The sequence below is a fragment of the Homo sapiens genome, chromosome 9 (genome assembly GCF_000001405.40).
Source record: "Homo sapiens chromosome 9, GRCh38.p14 Primary Assembly".
In the NCBI taxonomy this organism is placed as follows: Eukaryota; Metazoa; Chordata; class Mammalia; order Primates; family Hominidae; genus Homo; species Homo sapiens.
Genome location: NC_000009.12, coordinates 100805158 through 100828973, shown reverse-complemented (window position 1 = coordinate 100828973; position 23816 = coordinate 100805158). Strand labels below are relative to the sequence as shown.

The 23816-nt window shown below is 38.6% G+C and overlaps 1 long non-coding RNA gene across 2 annotated transcripts in view; it reads right to left on the bottom strand.

The window, feature by feature from the left end:
• The window catches only part of LOC105376179 (uncharacterized), a 46949-nt gene extending 23648 nt beyond the window's left edge, over positions 1 to 23301 (bottom strand). For both annotated transcript variants that reach the window (XR_001746575.1, XR_930178.2), the window contains exons 1-3: positions 23213 to 23301; positions 22180 to 22260; positions 11690 to 11770 (exon numbers count right to left, since the gene is read on the bottom strand). This is a non-coding gene — a long non-coding RNA (uncharacterized LOC105376179). The remainder of the gene's footprint in view (positions 1 to 11689; positions 11771 to 22179; positions 22261 to 23212) is intronic.
• Between the last annotated feature and the right edge of the window lie 515 nt (positions 23302 to 23816).

Genomic DNA, 23816 nt, shown 5'->3' with positions numbered 1-23816 from the left:
CAAACAGAAAGGAATAATAGCAACATCAACAAAAAGGATGTCTACTCAGAGGCCCGAAGGTCACCAACATCAAAGACCAAAGGTAGATAAGTCCACAAAGATGGGGAGAAACCAGAAAAAAAGGCTGAAAACTCCAAAAACCAGAATGCCTCTTCTCCTCCAAAGGATCACAACTCCTCGCCAGCAAGGGAAGAAAACTGGACAGAGAATGAGTTTGACGAATTGACAGAAGTAGGCTTCAGAAGGTGGGTAATAACAAACTCCTCTGAACTAAAGGAGCATGTTCTAACCTAAGGCAAGGAAGCTAAGAACCTTGAGAAAAGGTTAGGTGAATTGCTAATTAGAACAACCAGTTTAAAAAAGAACATAAATGACCTGATGGAGCTGAAAAACACAGCACAAGAACTTCGTGAAGCATAGACAAGTATCAATAGCCAAATCAATCAAGTGGAAGAAAGGATATCAGAGCTTGAAAATCAACTCAATGAAATAAAGCAAGAAGACAAGAATAGAGAAAAAAGAGTGAAAAGAAATTAACAAAGCCTCCAAGAAATATGGGACTATGTGAGAAAAACAAATATAGATTTGATTGGTGTACCTGAAAGTGACGGGGAAAATGGAACCAAATTGGAAAACACTCTTCAGGATATTATCCAGGAGAACTTCCCCAACCTAGCAAGGCAGACCAACATTCAAATTCAGGAAACACAGAGAACACCACAAAGATATTCCTCAAGAAGAGCAACCCCAAGACACATATTCTTCAGATTCACCAAGGTTGAAATAAAGGAAAAAATGTTAAGGGCAGCCAGAGAGAAAGGTCGGGTTACCCACAAAAGGAAACCCATCAGACTAACAGCGGATCTCTTGGCAGAAACCCTACAAGCCAGAAGAGAGTGGGGGCCAATATTCAACATTCTTAAAGAGAAGAATTTTCAACCCAGAATTTCATATCCAGCCAAACTAAGCTTTATAAGGAAAGGAGAAATAAAATCCTTTACTGAAAAGCAAAAGCTGAGAGATTTTGTCACCACCAGGCCTGCCTTACAAGAGCTACTGAAGGAAGCACTAAACATGAAAAGGAATGACTGGTACCAGTCACTGCAAAAACATGCCAAATTGTAAAGATCATTGAAAATATGAAGAAACTGCATCAACTAACGGACAAAATAACCAGCTAGCATCACAATGACAGGATCAAATTCACACATAACAATATTAACCTTAAATGTAAATGGGCTAAATGCTTCAATTAAAAGACTCAGACTGGCAAATTGGATAAACAGTCAAGACCCATTAGTGTGCTGTATTCAGGAGACTCATGTCACATGCAAAGACACATATAGGCTGAAAATAAAGGGATGGAGGAATATGTACCAAGAAAATGGAAAGCAGAAAAGCAGGGGTTGCAATCCTAGTCTCTGATAAAACAGACTTAAAACAACAAAGATCAAGAGACACAAAGAAGGGCATTACATTATGGTAAAGGGATCAATGCAACAAGAAGAGCTAACTGTTCTAAATATATATGCACCCAATACATGAGCACCCAGATTCATAAGGCAAATTCTTAGAGAACTACAAAGAGACTTAGACTCCCATACAATAATAGTGGAGACTTTGACACCCCACTGTCAACACTAGACAGATCAATGAGACAAAAAATTAACAAAGATATCGAGGACTTGAACTCAGCTCTGGATCAAGCAGACCTAATAGACATCTACAGAACTCTCTACCCCAAATCAAGAGAATATACATTCTTCTTAGCACCACATCGCACTTATTCTAAAATTGACCCATAATTGGAAATAAAACACTACTCAGCAAATGCAAAAGAACAGAAATCATAACCAATAGTCTCTCAGATCACAATGCAATCAAATTAGAACTCTGGATTAAGAAACTCCCTCAAAACTGCACAACTACATGGAAACTGAACAACCTGCTCCTGAAGGACTACTGGGTAAATAACAAAATAAGGCAGAAATAAAGATGTCCTTTGAAACCAATGAGAACAAAGACACAATGTACCAGAATCTGTGGGACACATTTAAAGCAGTGTGTAGAAGGAAATTTATAGCGCTAAATGCCCACAAGAGAAAGCAGGAAAGATCTAAAATCGACACCCTAACATCACAATTAAAATAACTCGAGAAGCAATAGCAAACAAATTGAAGAGCTAGCAGAAGACAGGAAATAACTAAGATCAGAGCAGAACTGAAGGAGATAGAGACATGAAAAGCCCTTCAAAAAATCAATGAACTCAGGAACTGGTTTTTTGAAAAGATCAACAAAACAGATAGACTGCTAGCAAAACTAATAAAGAAGAAAAGAGATAAAAATCAAATAGATGCCTAAAAAATGATAAAGTGGATAGCAGCACCAATCCCACAGAAATACAAACTACCGTCAGAGAATACTATAAAAACCACTACGCAAATAAACTAGAAAATCTAGAAGAAATGGATAAATTTCTGGACACATACACCTTACCAAGACTAAACCAGGAAGAAGTCAAATCCCTGAATAGACCAATGACAAAGTCTGAAATTGAGGCAGTAATTAATAGCCTACCAACCAAAAAAAGTCCAAGACCAGACAAATTCACAGCAGAATTCTATCAGTGGCACAAAGAGGAGCTGGTACCATTCCTTCTGAAACTATTCCAAACAATGGAATAGCCTTGGCTGGGCGCAGTGGCTCCTGCCTGTAATCCCAGCACTTCGGGAGGCTGAGGCAGGTGGATGATGAGGTCAAGAGATTGAGACCATCCTGGCTAACATGATGAAACCACGTCTCTACTAAAAATACAAAAAATTAGCCGGGCGTGGTGGTGGGCGCCTATAGTCCCAGCTACTCAAGAGGCTGAGGCAGGAGAATGGCATGAACCTGGGAGGCGGAGCTTGCAGTGAGCCAAGATTGTGCCACTGCACTCCAGCCTGGGTGACAAAGCGAGTCTCCATCTAAAAAAAAAAAGAAAAAAAAAGAAAGAAAAAGAGGGCCTAACTCATTTTATGAGGCCAGCATCATCCTGATACTAAAACCTGGCACAGACACACCAAAAAAAGAAAATTTCAGGCCAATATCCCTGATGAAAAGTGATGCAAAAATCCTCAATAAAATACTGGCAAACCAAATCCAGCAGCACATCAAAAAGCTCATCTACCACAATCAAGTCTGCTTCATCCCTGGGATGCAAGGCTGGTTCAACATATGAAAATCAATGAAAGTAATCTATCACATAAACAGAACCAATGACAAAAACCACATGATTATCTCAAGAGATGCAGAAAAAGCATTTGACAAAATTCAACAGCCCTCCATGCTAAAAACTCTCAATAAAATAGGTATTGATGGAACAAATCTCAAAATAATAAGAGCTATTTATGACAAACCCACAGCCAATATCATACTGAATGGGAAAAAAACTGGAAACATTCCCTTTGAAAACCGGCACAAGATGAGGATGCCTTCTCTCACCACTCCTATTCAACATAGTATTGGAAGTTCTGGCCAGGGCAATCAGGCAAGAGAAAGAAATAAGGCATATTCAAATAGGAAAAGAGGAAGTCAAATTGTCCCTGTATGCTGATGACATGATTGTATATTTAGAAAACCCCTTCATCTCAGCCCAAATCTCATTAAACTGATAATCAATTTCAACAAAGTCTCAGGATACAAAATCAATGTGCAAAAATCACAACAATTCCTATAAACCAATAATAGACAGAGAGCCAAATCATGAGTGATCTCCCATTCACAATTGCTACAAAGGGAATAAAATACCTAGGAATACAACTTACAAGGGATGTGAAGGACCTCTTCAAGGAGAACTACAAACCACTGTTCAAGGAAATAAGAGGGGACATAAATAAATGAAAAAACATTCCATGCTCATGGATAGAAAGAATCAATATTGTGAAAATGACCATACTGCCCAAAGTAATTTATAGACTCAATGCTATCCCCATCAACCTATCATTGACTTTCTTCATGGAATTGGAAAAAATGGCTTTGAAGTTCATACGGAACCAAAAAAGAACCTGCATAGCAAAGACAATCCTAAGCAAAAAGAACAAAGCTGGAGACATCACCCTACCTGACTTCAAACTGTATTACAAGGGTACAGTAACCAAAACATCAGGGTACTGGTACCAAAACAGATATATAGACCAATGGAACAGAACAGAGACCTCAGAAATAATACCACACATCTACAATCATCTGATCTTTGACAAACCTGACAAAAACAAGCAATGGGGAAAGGATTCCCTACTTAATAAATGGTGTTGGGAAAACTGGCTAGCCATATGCGGAAAGCTGAAACTGGATCCCTTCCTTACACTACATACAAAAATTAACTCAAGATGGGTTAAAGACTTAAACGTAAGACCTAAAACCATAAAAACCCTAGTAGAAAACCTAGGCAATACCATTCAGGACATAGGCACGGGCAAAGGCTTCATGACTAAATCCCCAAAAGCAATACCAACAAAAGCCAGAATAGACAAATGCGATCTAATTAAAATAAAGACCTCTGCACAGCAAAAGAAACTATCATCAGACTGAACAGGCAACCTACAGAATGGGGTTAAATAATGGGGGGGAAATGTTTGCAATCTATCCATCTGACTAATGGCTAATATCCAGAATCTGCAAAGAAGTTAAACAGATTTACAAGAAAAAAACAACCCCATCAAAAAGTGGGCAAAGGATATGAACAGACATTTCTCAAAAGAAGACATTTATGCAGCCAACAAACATATGAAAAAAAGCTCATCATCACTGGTCATTAGAGAAATGCAAATCAAAACCACAATGAGATACTATCACATGCCAGTTAGAATGGTGATTATTAAAAAGTCAGGAAACAACAGATGCTAGAGAGGATGTGAGGAAATAGGAAAGCTTTTACACGGTTGTTGGGAGTGTAAATTTGTTCAACCATTGTGGAAAACAGTGTGGCAATTCCTCAAGGATCTAGAACTAGAAATACCATTTGACCCACCAATCCCATTACTGGGTATATACCCAAAGGATTATATATCATTCTACTATAAAGACACATGCACACGTATGTTTATTGCAGCACTATTCACAATAGCAAAGACTTGGAACCAACCCAAATGCCCATCAGTGATAGACTGGGTAAAGAAAATGTGGCACATATACACCATGGATTACTATGCAGCCATAAAAAAGGATGAGTTCATGTCCTTTGCAGGGACCTGGATGAAGCTCGAAACCATCATTCTCAGCAAACTAACACAAGAACAGAAAACCACACATCGCACGTTCTCACTCATAAGCGAGAGTTGAACAATGAGAACACATGGACACAGGGAGGGGAATATCACATACCATGGCCTGTCGGGAAATGCGGGGGTAGGGGAGGGATAGCATTAGGAGAAATACCTAATGTAGATAACAGGTTGATGGGTGTAGCAAACCATCATGGCACATGTATACATATGTAACAAACCTGCACGTTCTGCAAGTGTACCCCAGAACTTAAAACATAATTAAATAAATAAATAAATAAATAAATAATTGTGGTTAAAATAGACATTTATCCCAGCTAGTCATTCCATAAATATTTACTGTAACTTTACCATATACTGTGCTAAGTGCTATAAAATACAGTGAGCAAGAACAAATCCTTTCCCCCACAGAGTTAACAGCCTGATAAGAAATGAAGACACTGAGCAAGTAATCATAATTTGATTGGTAGTTCTGAGACAGTAGTTCTGGATATTTTAGGTGCATTCAATCAAAGGCTCAACTAGTGTATGATTAAGAAAGCAGTTCCTTGAAGAACTGATACTGTCTCCTTCCAGTAGAGTGTAAGCACCACATAGGCAGAAATCTGTTCACTGTAGTTCCCAGCACTGATAAGTATGTGCAGACACTTAATAAATATGTATTCTATGAATGACTGTAGCTAGAAATGTAGGGAAGTAAGCAAAGTCCAAAGAAAATATAGGGATCTATGTTAAGAATTTGGCACTTCGAAGTAGTAGGAAACCATAGAAAAATTTTAAGCACAGATGTAACATAATCATATTTATATTTTAAAAAATATATCTGTAACAATAAATGGAGAATGGTATAGAAAGGGACAATAGTGAGCCAATTCAGATGCTATCTAAGTAATCTACATGAAAGATGATGGTGACGGGGACTAGTGAATGGCAGTAGGATTAAAGAGAAGTGAATGGACTTAAGAGATAATTTGAGCATAAAATATAGGGTTCTTGGTCACTGGTTGGATGAGAGGAGGAAAGAGAGAGGAAAAATCAAAGATCACTCTAAAGTTTCTGGCTTCTTAAACTAGGGAGATGGTAATACCATTTGATGAGAAGTGGGCAACTAATATTGGTGCAGATTTGTTAGTGGGGATTAGATATGATGGATTACACTATAAATATATTGAGTTTGAGGCATTAGTGAGACTTTCAGCTGCAGATATTCAATAGGCAGCTGCAAATACAGGTCAAGAACCCTGGGAGAAGGTGCAGGCTAGAAATAGACTTTTAAGGATCGTTAGAATATAGATGCTAAGTGAAGCAGTGAGAATGAGTCACATTACTCAGAGAGTATATACAGGAAAGAAGCAAGTTTAACATACTGAATTATTACAACATTTAGATTGGATTAAAAGGGTAGAACTACCATAGACACTGGGAAGGATCAATAGAGAGGAGTAAAGCAGCCCGAGAGAGTGTGCTGTCATGGAAACCAAGGGAAAAGACTTTCAAGAAACAGAGAATGGTCAATAACATTGAATGCTACTGAGAGGGCAAATAAGGATGGAAAAATGACTGTGGGAATAAGTTACGGGAAGACCACTGGTGAACTTAATGCATACAGTTACACTAGCATGGTAAAAGATATTTTAGAATAGACTGAGGGAAAAAAAGGAAGAGAAGAAATGGAGATAATCACTAAGATTTATTTAAGAAGCTTTGCTGTGAATGGTAGGAGAGAGGTGTCTGTACAGAAAAAAAAAAAGCAAGTCAGACTGAGATTTTTTTTAAGATGGGAAAGACATTATCAATTTAAATATTTATGGAAGTTTATATTAGAAAGGGATGTGTTGAAGATTCAGAAGCAAGAAAGTATAAATTATTAGTAGATAAAATAGGTGGGAAAATAGGTAAGAGGAGAGACAACTCTTCAAATAGGTGAGAAAGATGAAAAATAAAAGGAAAAGCAAGATTGCAGGTTAACAAATTTGGTGAAGGGAGGTTCACAGAAGTCCTATCTGAAAGCATCTATTTTATCTGTCAAGTAAGAGGTACTGTATCTTAATCTGCTTCGAGTACTATATAGGAATAATTGGGAAAAGGAGGTATCAGATGTCTAAGGAGAAGAAAATATGAAACAGTTGTGTAGGGACAGAGTTTGAGTTGCCGAGGAAACTGGTAATCATAAATTCATAGTGACAAAAATTTGATCAGATTGTGAATTTTTGCTCACAGAACAAGGTAGCTGCATGCAGGCAAGGCAAAGGCAGATAGTTGAGTTAATCCAGGGTTGGGGTTTTTCCAAACAGATACATTATACGAATAAGGGACAAGAGAGCATAATATGTTTCAAGTTCATCCATGTTGTGGCATGTGTCTGTAGCTTATTTCTTCCAATTGCTGAGTAGTATTTCATTATATATATATATATACACACACACACTATATATATATATACTATATCTACTATATATAAGGATTGTTATATAGTCTGTTAACTGGTGAATGAACAAACAAAATATAGTATAAATAGTATATTTTGTTTGTTCATTCACCAGTTAACAGACAGTGGATTTTAGAGGTTTGGGGGCTCTTATAAATAATGCTACTATGAACATTTGCAAACAAGTCTTTTCTTGGGTAGGTACCTAGGAGAAGAATTGTTATGACATCTGGAAAGTATAAGTTTTTAAGTTTTATGAAACTGAAACTGTTTCCCAGAGTGGCTGCTCCATTTTTCATTCCCACCAGTCATGTATGAAGGTTTCAGTTTCTCCACATCCTTGCCGACACTTGATATTGTTAATCTTTTGGATTACAACCATTCTAGTGAGCATGTAGTGGTATCTCACTGTGGTTAATTTGCACATCTCTAACAACATTTTAAGACGTGCTGTGGCATTTTTTCTCTACTTTGCTTGACTGGGCTGGCTCTATTTTAATTCAGTTCCTTGTTCTAATATGTCATCAATCAACTATTTCTTCAAGAGTTCGTGTTTTAACTGACAGCACTGCGTAGGAGCACTTCTGTTTCTTGCTGAAAATTATTCTCAAAAAACATGCTTTTCTTCTGCCTCTTTCTACTTTTCTTATTTTATCTTTCAGAATCACTTTATAGTTTCTATGTCAGATGCCATTCTATTTTATTTGGCTTTATTTTTCATCTTTGAATGAAAATAACTTTAACCTGGACTTTCATTTACTCTCAAAATGATCTGGTTAATTTCTTCCTAGGTCCTTTCCCTGATGCCCTGAACACCATTAAAGTCCTCTTAAATTCTAAAATGAAAAAAGCTTTCACAGTCTTTCAGCCTGACAGAGGATCTGGGACTAGGGGAAATCTCAGCAATTGTCTTTCTGTAACCACTTCTTTGTTGAGAAGCCACAACCACCTTTCTGTATTTGATTCTCCATTCCTTGTACTCAGTATGACTGAGGGAATCCTTCTTGCTGATATTACTGCCCATCATTTTTGGGGTGACCCCATCTCATTAGTGGGAAGTCATGTCAAGAAAAAGCCTGACACCTGCTGGTTTCCTATTTGGTATCGCCATGTTACTCTCTTAGCCTCATCACAGCCATGTCCAAACGCTATTGATCTGTGGTGAAGAAAGAAGCTCCAGGTGGCATGGTCCTCACTATTGATTCTTCCTTTGTCCATGAAATTTATTCATCTTACCAGGATTTTCACTGTAGGTACACTGAGCCCTTTTGACCTGCAGATTCAGGGGGTTTTCCATTGAGTAAAAATTATTTAACACAACTTATTTTCCTTTTCTCCTGATTTCTTTATATGGCATGTATTTATATTTTTAATATCTGCCATATCTGACATTTTCCTATCATCTTTACATTTCATGGCCTTTTTTCTATATTCCAAGAAAGCATCTCAAAACTGTCTTCTGCATATATTATGTAATTTCCTAAAATCTTTTCTGCTTTATGTCCTTCTAATTCTGATTTTAAATCTGAAATTATATTTTTAATTTAATTAAACTCTAATCCAGGTCTTTATTTCTGCATGCCTTTCAAGATACTCTTTTGTTCATTCTTAATATAATGCTTCATTATATTGTCTTTTATCTTTTATCACAGAGTCACTGAAACACGAAGTATTTAGTTAATCCCAGAAACAGATGTTATCAAAATACTTTGTAAATCCTACAGCAAATTTGTATCAAAATGTTTGTCCTTCTTCTGCATTTTTAATGTCTTTGTTTTGCCATCCTATTTTTGAAGAATCCCATATTGATTTTTCTTTACTTTTCACTCTGTAATTAGAAGAGGCCTAAGTTTTCCCTTGCTGCCCACCTGATTGTTGTTGGAATTTCTTCAGTTGTAAACATGAATGCTTCTTTATGCGCCTTTACATCACAGTTCAGAGAACCGATGGCAGCTGTAGCAAGGAAACTTCATGTGTCATTTTCTTCTCATGTTCCGTTACACAGTTGTGACAGAGGCCAGCTTTCTCTTGAGAGCTTTTTTTTTTTTTAATACTTTAAGTTTTAGGATACATGTGCACAACGTGCAGGTTAGTTACATATGTATACATGTGCCATGTTGGTGTGCTGCACCCATCAACACGTCATTTAACATTAGGTATATCTCCTAATGCTATCCCTCCCCCTGTGTGTGATGTTCCCCTTCCTGTGTCCATGTGTTCTCATTGTTCAATTCCCACCTATGAATGAGAACATTCGGTGTTTGGTTTTTTGTCCTTGCGATAGTTTGCTGAGAATGATGGTTTCCAGCTTCATCCATGTCCCTACAAAGGACATGAACTCATCATTTTTTATGGCTGCATAGTATTCCATGGTGTATATGTGCCACATTTTCTTAATCCAGTCTATCATTGTTGGACATTTGGCTTGGTTCCAAGTCTTTGTTGTTGTGAATAGTGCCGCAATAAACATACATGTGCATGTGTCTTTATAGCAGCATGATTTAAAATCCTTTGGGTATATACCCAGTAATGGGATTGCTAGGTCAAATGGTACTTAGCCCAGCCTCTGGGCCTGTAACATGGTTTGGTCCTCCTAAGCCTCCTCCCTGGGCCTTCTGTTGGATACAAAGGCCCTGCTGTGCTGCCAACCTTTTGCTTGATTTAGCAACTGTGCAGATCCTGGAGCTGCCTTCAAGTGTTCTTGCTCCAAGACAGCAAAAGGGATTCTGCGTGACTTATTCCCCTGCTACTTCCCAACTCATAATTGCCTCTCCCAAAAATGGCATTGAGGTGAGTTTCTACCAGTTGTTACTGTCTCAGAAAGGACAGCAATGAGTCAGCCTTTAGGTTTCCTTCACCTTTAAACTTTTCTTAACTCCAAAAAGCTGGAACAATTTGTTTGTTCTAAGTGTATTCAGTCTCCTAATCTTTACTGATGGTAACTTATTTCACTTCTCCAACCAATCTTGTACTCTCATGTAAGACAAAAATACAGATGTACACACATGCATTATCAATTCATAGCATTCCTGGCTTTAATGGAAATGTGTTTAACTCTGTTATGCTATGAATCCATATGTGTGTGTGCATATGAGTTATTAGCCTATCATGTTCCTGACTTTAATGGAAATGTGCTTAACTCTGTTATGCTATGAATTCATATGTGTGTGTGCATAAGAATTTACAGCATACACAGAGTTAAACACATTTCCATTAAAGCCAGGTGCATGATGAGCTAATATTATCACAATTAATTGTCATCATCCTGGAAAGCCAATGCAATTAGGCATGAAAACAAAATCAGTGTTATAAATATTGGCAAAAATATTGTAAAAAATATTGTATGATAGGTCTAAATACAAGAAAACTAATGATGAAAGTATAGAAACTAATAAGAGAATTCATTGTGATTATAACTTATTGTTGGGTGGAACACATTAAAAAACTTGTTGAATATTTTTACCCTCTTCTGGTTATTTGAAATGGTGCGTATGTGTGTGTGTGAATGTGTCTGTAAGACAAAAATATCAAAATGTCAACCGTATCTTTGAGTGATAAGATTACAAATGCCTTTTCCCCTTGTCTGTATTTTCCAAATTCTCTACAGTGAACATGCATTGTTTTTAGAATAAAAAGTGTTTTAAAATAATAAAATGACAATGAATGTTAACATGCCCACCTACATTAGTAGCTCCTTTCCTATTCACTAACCTTAGTGAATATTTAGAAATACATTAAGAAAACCCTTCTTGAAACAATAATTCATGTAAAAAGATTTTTTTATGACAGTGCCTTTAACAAAGGAAATCTGAAAAAGAAATCCAGCCAAGCGTAAGTACAACCTGAAAAATGAAAACAAGAGCAAAGGACTAAAATCCTTCACAAAGACCTTGCAGGTTGGTATATAATGAGATTCAGAGTTTAATAATAGAAAACAATCTCAGTGTAAAATATGTACATTAATGTCAAGTTGGGATGAAGTGCAAATAAGACTCACAGCTCTGCAGAGTTCTCTCTTCGGTATTCTAGATTCCCTTTCTTGCCTATCCCCGAATAGCCTGGGAAAATGCCACACGTCCTGAGATTCAAAAAATATTTATAAAGATAAATGGCAAAATAACTTTCCAAGGGTCTCTCAGCTATTTTCCAGGAAACTAGTGAATACTAGAACAGATACCTGGTGCAAAGTTCTCCAAATACCGATTCCAATTTTAAGTTAGCAAATATTTGTCAGACTATACCAAGTGCTCTAGGCATTTATACACACTTTAGCTAATTTAATTTCATAACGTCTTCAACAGATAAATGTCTTTTTCCCAGAATATATATGAGGACACCTTCGCTCTTTAAAGTGGTGGATCTTTGAAGAGCAAGGTGGGTAATGATGTCCCATGTGACAAATGAACAAATAGAGGCAGATGGAGGAACCGCTGTTGAAACCAGGTAAGAGGTTTTATTTGATGTTAGAGTGAAAATGGTGGGTCTCTTCATCAAACAAGGCCCGAGGACTATGCTAGATGCCAAGGACACTGTGGTTTTTAAAAAGTGTAAGCCCTGCCTTTTCATTCATGGTGCTTACAGTCTAGTTGGAAAGACAAACATTAAGTAGACAACCTCATTAGAACTTATTTTAAATAGTAAAAAGGACTAAAACAGAGAAGCTTGGGTAAATAGAAGTTGTCCAGGTGAAGAGTATAGGTAAGACCATTCCAGGTAGCTGACACAGTATATTTGAAGGTGCTGAGACAGGTAAAAGCTGTGAAAATCCAAGACAATGAACAAGAGCCAGCTGCTGTGAGTGGATGGTTACCAAGGGCAGATGGTGGCAACAGATGAGGCTGGAGGGATAGGCAAGGCCTGATCACAGTGGGACTTGTAAGGCATGATAAGGACTTTTTAAATTTTATCTTTATCCAAAGAGGAAAGTGAAGCCAAAGAGCAGTTTTAAATAAAGACGTGGCACAACACAATTTTCTTTTTTAAAAGACTACGCTACCTAGACTGTGGAGAAAAAATGAATGAAGGCAAAAGTAAATATAGTGTGGTGGATATCTCATGCATGCTGCCTTTTACCTTCCTTCTAAGTTAACACTTCCTCAAAATCCTTCAGGTAATTTCCCCTGTGACATTCCTGGCCATGTGGTTGAAATAAGATTTATCCTACCTTAACTCAAAGAATGAGCCTTAATTAGTTACTTCAGTCAGCAAAATCCATCCCTCTGACTACAGCAAAAAACACATCACCCAAATTGGGCAAATGGGATATGAGAGGGTGTTTTCTAACAAAGACCACTGGAAAAGAAGCTTTGTCACCATTCTATAAAAACTGCTGAGAGAGATGTTCTGTCTTCCCTAAGATCATGAACAAAGAAGCATGAAGCTCTAAGACCTCCTGACAACCCCCTTGTTTGACATTGTGAGCCGGCTTCAGCAGCAAGATAAAACAGTAGAAGGTTGAGAGGAGAAATAGAATAAACCAGAATTTTGTTGACATGTTGATATGCTCAATCAAGTCTTGCCTGAATCCTACCCCAACTCTGGGCTTTTCAATTATATAAACTGATAAAAGTTTTTTATTGTTTAAGCTGTTTTCTGTATTTGCTACTAAAAGATTCCTAAAAAGACATCTCTCAGGAGTCTATATTCCAGGATAAACATACCATTAGCATGGGCTAGGGTTGTAGCAATAAACATGGATAAATGTGATACATTTCAGATTTATTTAAGAGCAGAACTGGTGATGATGGGTTTGAAAGAGAAAGAGATGAAAAGGATGATTGCCAGGTTCAGAGGATGATTGAAGAAGGAGCTGGCTTCAGATTAGTTTGGGGGAAGGGAGTTAGAGAAGAAGATCATAGTTTTAGAGTCTGAGGACTCTCTGATATAGCCAAGTAGAAATAGCATAGGCAGTAGAAATGCAAGCACCTAAGGAGGAGTAATAAAATAGTACTGCATAACCAGCTTCTTCTTTCTCACTTCTGATGTAAAAGAGCAAGTCCATACAATCTCTTAAAGTCAGCCTGTTCTCAGCCTCTGAAATTACAGATGAATGATCAGAAAAAAACAGGGAAACATAATCTTTGTTTAACAAACAGGCAAAGAACAGTATTTCCCATTCTTTATAAAAATTACAGAAATGCTAAGGAAAGTGGGAATTGGGTGTGAGCCATAACATCTTCAGGGGAAGGAGGGGGCCCCAGAAGGGGAAAATCCTGAGAACTTTAGTACATTGTTGATTCAAAAAAGAGAAGGGTTTCAGCTAGTAACAACGTGAATGGGTCTTTTTGATCCATTATTATATGACTGTTTCGGGATCTTTGGGGTGTCAATTTTCTGGCTCAAAACCTCTCTGGCCAGTGGTACCTTTGAATAAGTTCTTGTACTGCATCCAGGAAGAATGAGGCACACAGACAAGTGGAGGGTGAATACGATGAAAAGGAGCTTTATTGAGTGTTAGAACAACTCAGAGGATACCAGCAGTGGGTCTTCTCTCTGTAGGCAGGTCGTCCCATCAAGTGCTCAGCTCTCAGCAGAGAGGAGGCCCTGGAGAGGGTAGACTCCTCTCTGTAGCTGATCAGCCTGATGTCTGCCTAGCTCTTAGCAGAGGGGAGGCCCTGGAGTGGGTAGCTCCTCTCTGCAGCTGGTAGTCCTGACATCCCTGAAGTTCTCTGAAGCTCTCAGCAGAGAGGGTAGCTCCTCTCTACAGCTGGTCTTCCCATCCTCTCTCTGTCCTCTACCCTGCTCTGACTGAGCCCAGGGCTTTTATGGACATCAGAGGGGAGGTAGTGCATGTCAATTGGTCCATGGGCAGCCATGGGAGGCCTGGAAAAGGCATCACAATTCCCCACTCCAGTGGGCAGGTCTGGCAGCCCAGCCCCCAACCTTCAGGCCTTCCCTGGCCGGAAGGTGGGGCCTTACTGAGGACCCTCCCTCTTCCACCCAGGAACCTGTCAGCCTTTAGCAGCCATCCATGGTGCCTAGGCTTCTTTCATCAAGGGGCACCTGCAGGCCAGTGCCCAGTCACCTTCAGCTCCCCTTCAGTTTCCCCTCTCATGCTGGTTGCTGCCCAAATTCCAGAGGGAGCCAAGGCAGCAGGGGGCAGGCATGTCAGCACTGCCCTGAGCCGTGTGTACATCCAGCCAAGCTGTGACAGCACCTGGGCTTGGCCCCAGCCCTGCTCCAAGACTGGGGCAGGTGCTGGGAGCAGAGAGAGGCCAGGCAGTAGGAGTGGCACCCCCATGGGGATGGTGGGGGGCCTTCCCGCTTCATGGAGCAGACAGTAGCCCCACCCTCCTTGGTAGAGCTGCAGCTGCCCAAGTTGTGGCAGCATATCTGAGCCTCCCTGTGCTCTTAGGGGTGCCAGGAGCAGGCAGGATCCCTGCTTTCCTGGGTGCAGCTGCAGCCACCCAATCCCCGGCTGCAGACCCAGGTCTCCTGCTCCTCCTAGCAGGCAGGAGCCAGGTACAAGTGGGACCCCTGCCTCTTCTGAGCTGGGGTGGGAGCTCCCCAGGTACCACTGCAGCTAACCAAACTGCACTGTAGACCCAGCCTCCTGCTCCATGGAACAGGCAGGAGACTCACCCTCCTGGGATGTGGAAAAACCAAAGATAAGAAAGCTGAAATATGAGCACATAAGGAAGGCAAGCCAAAGAAATCAACTCTGACTAATATAAGAAAGGGGAATGATTTCAAAGGATTTCAATGGCACACAGAATCAATAAAAGCCTGGAAAACCAGGTTTGGAAATAGATGGAAACCAACCAAGCTCCAGGAAGCAAAGAGGCAGGAACTTTAGTCCATCCTGTAGATAGAAGAGGCTCTAGGTTATGAAGAACTTCAAAGGACTGCCACTCATTGGTCCTGTCCCACTTGCTCAAGTTCCAAAGTTCTAGGAAAGGACATTCAATTGTCCAAGCTTGAAACAATATTTCCAGGATCCTTGAATAAATTCCACTAAACTATAAGCTCCTTAAAAGTCAAGACCAAGTAATATATAATGTACGTGTAATATACACAGTCCTGCCATGCTTACAACAGTGAATTTTTTAATGCAGCTACTCAATAAATGCTCATTGAATGACTGAACAAAAATCAAAACCGTGTGGACACTAAATAGGCTATATTTAGAATAGTCTTTCAGATAAATTAATGACATGAAATGAAAAATATTTCCTTCAATGCTGTCTCCAATCATTCACAAATGCCCTTTTATTTGCTTTTATTTCTAAGAGATTCTTCATTTCCACCCCTTTCTCTCCATTCTCACTTCCACACTGTGAGTTCAGACCTGCTCTAACCATGCAAACCTTGCCAAGCTTCTTCATCTCACCAAGCCTCGATTTTCTATTATTAAAATTTATTATATTACAGTTTTGGAGGTCAAAAGTCCAAAATTGGTCTCACTGGGCTAAAATCAAGATGTAGTTGGAGTTAGATCCTTCTAAAGACTCCAAGGGTGAATCTGTTCCCTTGCCTTTTTCAGCTTCTAGAGGCTACTTGCACTCCTTGGCTCATGGCCCGCCTCCCTTCATCTTTGAAGCCAGTAGAGCATGTTTCTGACTCTCTTCTATCTTCGCATATCTGTGACCACAGCAGGGAAAGGCCCTATGCTTGGAAGGACCCATGTGCTTACATTGAGCTCACCCAGGTAATCTAGGATGATCTCTCCATCTCAAGGTCCTCCATCTGATCATCTCTGCAAAGTCCCTTTTGCCATATAAAATCACATATTCTTAACAAGTTACAGGGATTAAGATGTGCACACCATTGGCGGCCATTATTCAGCCTACTACTGCCTCTTTCATAGGGTTAATGTAAAGATAAGACAATTATGAGCACAATGTTGTACAGCAGACCTCTAGAACTTATTCATCTTGTATAAGTGAAACTTTACATCCAATGAACATCAATTCCCCATTTCCCTCTTCGCTCAGCCCCTGGATACCACTATTCTACTCTCTGCTTTTATGAGTTGACAACTTTAGATACCTCATATAAGTGGAATCACCTAGTATTTGTCCTTTGTGACCGGTTTATTTCACTTAGCATAATGTCCTCATCAAATTGTACACTTTAAATGTGTACAGTTTTCTGTATACCAATTATACCTCAATAAAGATGGTATTTTTTAAAAGATGAGATGTTCGCATATTTAAAGTATTTAGAACAATAACTGCCACATAGAAAACATCACATAAGTATTAATGAATATTGTAACTATAATAATCACACAGTTCTGTTTTGTCTAAGCCAGTTAGCTAATAGAGATGTGGAAGGAGCGGAAGCAGGAGGCAAATGTAATTCCAAAACAAGTTGCTACAGTCAGTGCTGAATTTGCTCTTAGAAAAAGCAGGTGAGGCCAACTTCCATGCCCGCTCCAACAATGAGTTGCACAGCAAGCTGGTCATTTTCCAGGCACTGATTCCGCATTAGCCAGACCTGTAAAAGTTGATGTTGCACAATATCAACTTGTAAGAGCCTAATTTGTGCCCAGTGGCTCACTTCATGTTTTCTTTATATTGTGACTATTTAACCTGATCACAAATGTTCTTCCTCAGGATAAAGTGGAAAGGAAATAAACATTTTGGAGCACCCATTACATAATGGTACTCTGCAAGATATTCACAAACAGCATTTCATAAAATCTTCACCAAACTCCTGGGAAGTTAGTATTCTTGTCCCCAGCTTCCAGATGAGAGAATTGAAGTTTGGAAAGGTTAAATAATTTGCCACCATCACACAGAGTAGTAATTGGTCAGGCCAGGTTCCTAGCATAGGGCTATCTGATCTGTCTGACCCCAGTGCCCATGGCCTTTTCATTACACACATCTCATAAAACTCAGAATGTGTGTGTGTAGAGATACATCTTCCTGAATTCTGCCAGAAAGAAGAGAGCCGTGAGTTTGGGGAAGTCAAAGCATCTGGGAGTCATCTTAGCGCCTCCCAAACAGGTGATGGGAGTAGATGACCTCTGACATCCCTATAGGGCAGGGCTTCTCAATCTCAACACTAAGACACTGGGGCCAGATAACCCCTTGTTCTGAGCCTTGTAGGATGTTGATCAGCATTCTTGGCCTCTCACGCGATGCCAGTAGGAGCACCTCTGCCCCATTTGTTACAACTAAAAATGTCTCCAGACATTACCAAGTGTTCACTGGGGAACAAAGTCACCCTCAATTGAGAAATACTGCTCCAGGCCTCAACATTCTGCAATTCTGAGACCTTCAACACAAGAAAGGAGGACAACTGCTCAATACAAACAGCCTAGGTCAACACTGGTCTGAGACCAATTAAGGGCCAAACCTACAGTGAAAATGAGAAGCTTTGGTTCTGCTCTCCTGCTCTCTCTGTGGAGCAGAGGGCTGATGGGCTCAAAGCTAAGTCATGAATATCAAATAGTGATGGATCCACACAGCAAAACTATGTTGTATTTATTTTTCTAGTTAAATTAATGTTGTTTGTACAGACAAATTAGTTAGCCAAATTTGAGAGCCACTACTTGTGGTTCCAAGATTCTGTATTTTGTGTAATGTTATTTTGTAAGTGTGGTTATCCTGTTTATAAATGCTCAAAGGAAAAAATATTACCTGTAATCTTAACAACACATATATAATCACATTTCTATAATCAATATTTACATATATGTATCATATATGTGGATAATATATGTGTACATATGTATATATAATTTATAGTAAACAATACATATAGGAAATCACATTCAGCTTCAGAGGTTGTCTTTTTAGTCTGTCTAAGCAGTGGTAGTTGTGGTTAACAGCTCAGACTTTGGAGCCAAGTTTTTCCCAATTGAATCACTGTTTTGCCTAGTGACCCTGAGCAAGTTATCTAAGGTTTCTGTGCCTGTTTCCTCATCTGTAAAATAGGGGCAATAATAGTACCTCACAAGTTTTGTAAAGAATTAAATTATTTAATACACTTAAAGCAACTTGGGTAGTGCCTGACACACAGTATTCACTCAATGTACATTAACTATTACTATTATTTCTACATCAAATACACTCTTTAAAAATACATATGTGTTTTTAACAAAAAATATTATTAATTACTTGGTAGCCTGGTTGTTTTACTGAGAAATGTATCATAAATACCTCTATGCCTCTAAATCTTTTTCTACAACATGATCCTTAATGGGCTGGATGTACCTCATTTCGCATAAACAGTTTATTTGAGGATATTGAAGAAAGTTGCAGATTTGAGATATTGAGAAATATTACAATTGGGCATGCTTGAACATCTGTCTCATTATTTCCTTAGGATACAGTCCTAGAAGAAAAATTGTCAGGATAAAAGGTATATTTATTTTGAAGTATTTTGATACACTTTAGGTCCCAGGATTTCTGTCACCCAGAGTTCTTTGTGATATTTTATTCTTGGCTTGTATGAAAGAGCCATAGGCGACTGCCTATGAGCAAAGTATTAAGCTGGTGCAAAAGTAACTGCAGTTTTTGCCATTCAAATGTAATGTCCTATTCAGGGACCTAGATGAAGCTGGAAGCCATTATCTTCAGCAAAGTAATGCAGAAACAGAAAACCAAACACCACATGTTCTCATTTATAAGTGGGAACTGAACAATGAGAACCCATGGACACAGGGAGGGGAGCAACACTCACTGGGGTCTGTCAGGGGAGGGCAGGGGGGCGGGCAGAGCATTAGGGAAAAGAGTTAATGCATGCGGGGCTTAATACCTAGGTGATGGGTTGATAGGTGCAGCAAACAAGCATGACACACATTTACCTATGTAAAAAATCTGCACATGCTGCACAAGTACCCCAGAACTTAAAAAAAAAATAAGAATTAAAAGAAAGAAAAGAAGAAAAGGAAAAAAAAAAGTAATGGCAGAAACCGCAATTACTTTTGCATCAACCTGATAACATAATCAAATCAGGATACTGTGTTCCTCAGCTACTCTGAACAGAAATGTGATGCTGAATTCCAAGTTGTGGGTGATGTGAACATCCAGTGAAGGTGATTTGGTGATGGATGTGGGCTGGCTATCATGCCAGCTCCTCTCCAACCCCATGCTGTTTGAAGTGCCAGTGTTCTTCCGATATAACTAACTCCAAAAACAAAAAGCATCATGTGGCCTGAGCGTCAGGAATCCTTAGCTTCAAACTGAGATAAATTCAGGGAACTCAGAACAGCTGCACTGACACGTATTTCTCAGGCTATCTCTCTTCATTTATTCCATTCATGGAGAATTCCTCTTGGCAAGGTGTTACAGCCCTTGTGTCAGGAAAGACTTGTATAATTTAGAAATGTGTTCCTAAAATAGTAAAAGGGCTGAAATGTCTCAGAGGCATAAAAATGACCTGAAAGAACTCCATCAAGAGGAACCTTGCCAGAGAGAGCTGATCACATGGAACTGCAGGTGAAGCAACAACATGACATGAGATCCAACCTATTAGTCCAACAATTTATACCTGCCTGTAATTAAAGGGACACCAATAAATAAGTGATTTAATATTTAGAGAAGATATAAAATTATGAATTCATGGACTCTCAATATCATAGGGATCTGCAAGGTCATCTATTCTAGCCAATGGTCAGCTGTTGCTTGAATTCCATTTACAATTGTCCTGACAAGTGATCTCCAGCCTCTGCTTGGATATTTCCAGTAGCACAAAACTCACCACTTCCTGCAGGTGATTCTCTCCTTAGAATATCTAATTTGGGTTGTTGTTTTTTATTTGTTTTGAGGCAGGGTCTTGCTCTGATGCCCAGGCAGGAATGCAGTGGCAAGACCACAGCTCACTACTGCCTCAACCTCCCAAGTTCAAGCAATCTTCCCACCTCAGCCTCCCTGAGTAGCTAGGACTGCAGGTGCACACCACCACACTTGGGTAATTTTTGTAGTTTTTGTAGAGATGGGGTTTCTACAACCCCCATAGAAACATGAGGTTTTGCCATGTTGCTTAGGCTGGTCTTGAACTCCTGAATTCAAGTGATCTGCCTGCCTCAGCCTCCCAAAGTTCTGGGATTACAGGCATGTACCACCATGCCTGGTCTTAGAATACCTTTTGTAACTAGAAATTTTATCCATATTAAGATCCTGAAATCCATCAGCCTAAACAAACAAATAAATAAATGTTTTCAAGGCATTTGTGAGTGATACAGGGTGTTGAAAAAAATTAATCTTAATAGCTGGCTCCCTCTTAAGGAGGGAACTAACTTTTTTTATAAAAATACTTGATAACCTATTTTGATTGACAAAGATGAGGTCTTAAGGGCTTATAGTAAAGTAAAACCAACTCTTATGCCCTAGAAATTAATGGAAATTTGTGGGTGGGATGAGCAGTCTAAGGTTAGAGATGGAATTTGTAGTAGGCAGAAGGGAGCTGAACAAGACATTGGGTCCTGTAGGGAAAAGGTGACCAGTTAGAAATTTCCTGTGCCACAGGTATTTTAAGAACAATATTCCATTTTAAATTTGCTTCATTTCTACAATATGAAAAATAGATTGGTATAACACTTTAACAAGCAATTTGGTTAAAAATACTCAATTTGCAATTAGCCAAGAATAATCCGAATTCTTGACATCTATCCTGAAAAACTGAATCGAAATGTGGATATGCAAAAAACTGGAAGCAATCTAAATAATAAAACAAGGATTGCTAAGTGAATTATGGTACAACCACTTGGTGGAATATTTTACAACTATTAAATATGATGTTAAAGATAATTTAACATTGGAAATGTATGACAAAATGTTTTTGAAAATATAAGAAAAGTTATTCTTCAGTGTTACCTAATAAATAAACAAAATGACAAAGAAATTCTATGCATAGAAAACATTTTCCTTTCTAGTTTCCAAATGATGGATATTAATAAATTATTATGAGTATTCCCAATCCAGTGTTCTTGAAGTTAATTAAAACACAAAACTCCACATTCATTTCCCTGTGCCTTGCTGCCTCTCTTCCTCTTTGTCGTTTCCTCCTCTTCTTTCTCTTCATTCTCTTTCATTCTGTCTCCTCCTTCTCTTTTCTCTCCCCTCCATCCTCTCTCCCCTACTGCCCTCCCTCTCCGTTAATAAAATTGATAATGATATCTTTTAAAAAAAAAAAAAAAGAAAACATTTTCAAATAAATACATAAAAATGTTGATAATCATCATCTCTAATGGTAATTTCCTCCTATTTTCCCTATTTTTTACATTGTTATATAGCAAACATGTTTAATACCTAGGATTAGGAAACCCTAACATAATCTATATGTAAACATTAATGTTAAGCCTCACTTAAATTGTCTTTATTGCTGGGTTCTTCAGCAACTAGCTGAGGAAAGCAGCTTCATGATTATAAAAAAGAAGCCAGCTGTCCTTTCTTTTAGACTGAACTCTGACACCTTGGTCAATTCCCTTCATCTTTTTGAGTGTCATTTATACAGGACTGTTGGGGATACAATGAGTTAGTGAAAATAAAAGCTCTCTGGATTCTACATCCTTATAAAATTACAAAGAACTGTTACCGTTAGAATAGAATCTAGAGGTGGTCACTTCATTCTTCCATCTTGCACTATATTCTTTTGCAAATGGCCATTTCATACAATCTAGGAAAACAAATTGCATATGGGTCACATTTCTATATAGCATACATTGTGATAAAATTTATACATTGGGATAAAATTCAGAGTAATACACTGAACTTCAGTGTATTATCCTGAAAACAAAATATACGAAGGGTCCCAAAACCGGTGATATCATAATTCTCTTCAACAGTGTGTGCATGTGTGATATGTGTGCAAATGCGAATGTGTACACACATGGTGTGTGTGTGCATATGTGGTCTGTGAGGCGTGTATGTATTTATGTGAGTATGTGTACATTAAGGAGACCGTGAGAGCCAGAAATGATATAGAATTCCTACTGCCCTGTAAAGAACTTTTGTTTGTATGGGGGGTTTTTTGCCTTACTATCTGTGGTATATCTGGACATTAAGACAGAACTGTTCAGGACCATAGATTACAGATTCAAGTGCTGGGAACTTGAAATTATCACATATAAATGACCTGATGAAGCAGGCCATTCATTGGAATCTGATCACAATACTTTAATCTTTGAACAAAATTCAGAATAAGTCCATCTTTTATCCCTTCAAAAAGCCAGGTGAAGAATCATTAGAAGCCACATATAAAGCAGTTTCAAGTGATAATTAAATAACTTTGCACTAATATTCAGATATAAACGGAATTTGCACTGAATTTAAGATAATATTCAGCTGTATATACTGAGCAGAACACAAGACTTGAGTCAGAAGCACGAAGTTATGTTCCTAGTTTCACTAACTACAAGGCCATTTTTGATTACCCACTCAGCAAATGGCTCCTCTCCATAACTGGTGCCACTTCATTCCACTCTACTCTTTACTTCCCCAAATGACTGAGCCCCACCTGGCCATCCTTTCCCATTGCCAATCCCTCCCAACTCATTGCCAATTCTATGACCAGATCTTTTGGCCTCTTAATTCTTACAACTGTATCCCTTCCCACTCCCAGCCTGTACCATTTAAGTGAGATCAAGCTCCCAGCCTGGCCCCTTCCCAAAGATTATTCAAGCCATGTCTCAAAGTGGACACTATAGAGCCAAGAGAACATTTTTAAGTTATTTAACCTCACCAAGGCTTGTGGGTTAAATGACATCTAATGACCTTCCTTGATCTAACATTCCATGGTTCTATGACAACATAATACTACTAATAATAAATATAATAATTATTACACCTGACGTTTGTGTAGAGGGCCAGTTCTCAGTGCATCTTCACTCACATTACCTTTGACTCACACAACAGATAGATAAATCAGGTGCTATCATCCCCATGCTACAATCGAGATTGGAGATTATATGATTTATTTTTCCAGAACAGTGAGACTCAGAGCCACATCTACTGACTCCAAATTTTAGGCTGTTTTTTTGTTTTCAATCCACAGAATGATAACCTAAAATGAGGCAAAACTCTATTGCTATTTATTCACAGTGGAAACAAGAGATTTGTGTGATTATGGTAATTCCAAACTTTCAAATATCAGTAACGTGACTTTTTCAGACTAGATTCAAATTCTTTTGAGTCTAATAAAGCATTTCAGCTCTTACGAAGCAAACCACATCT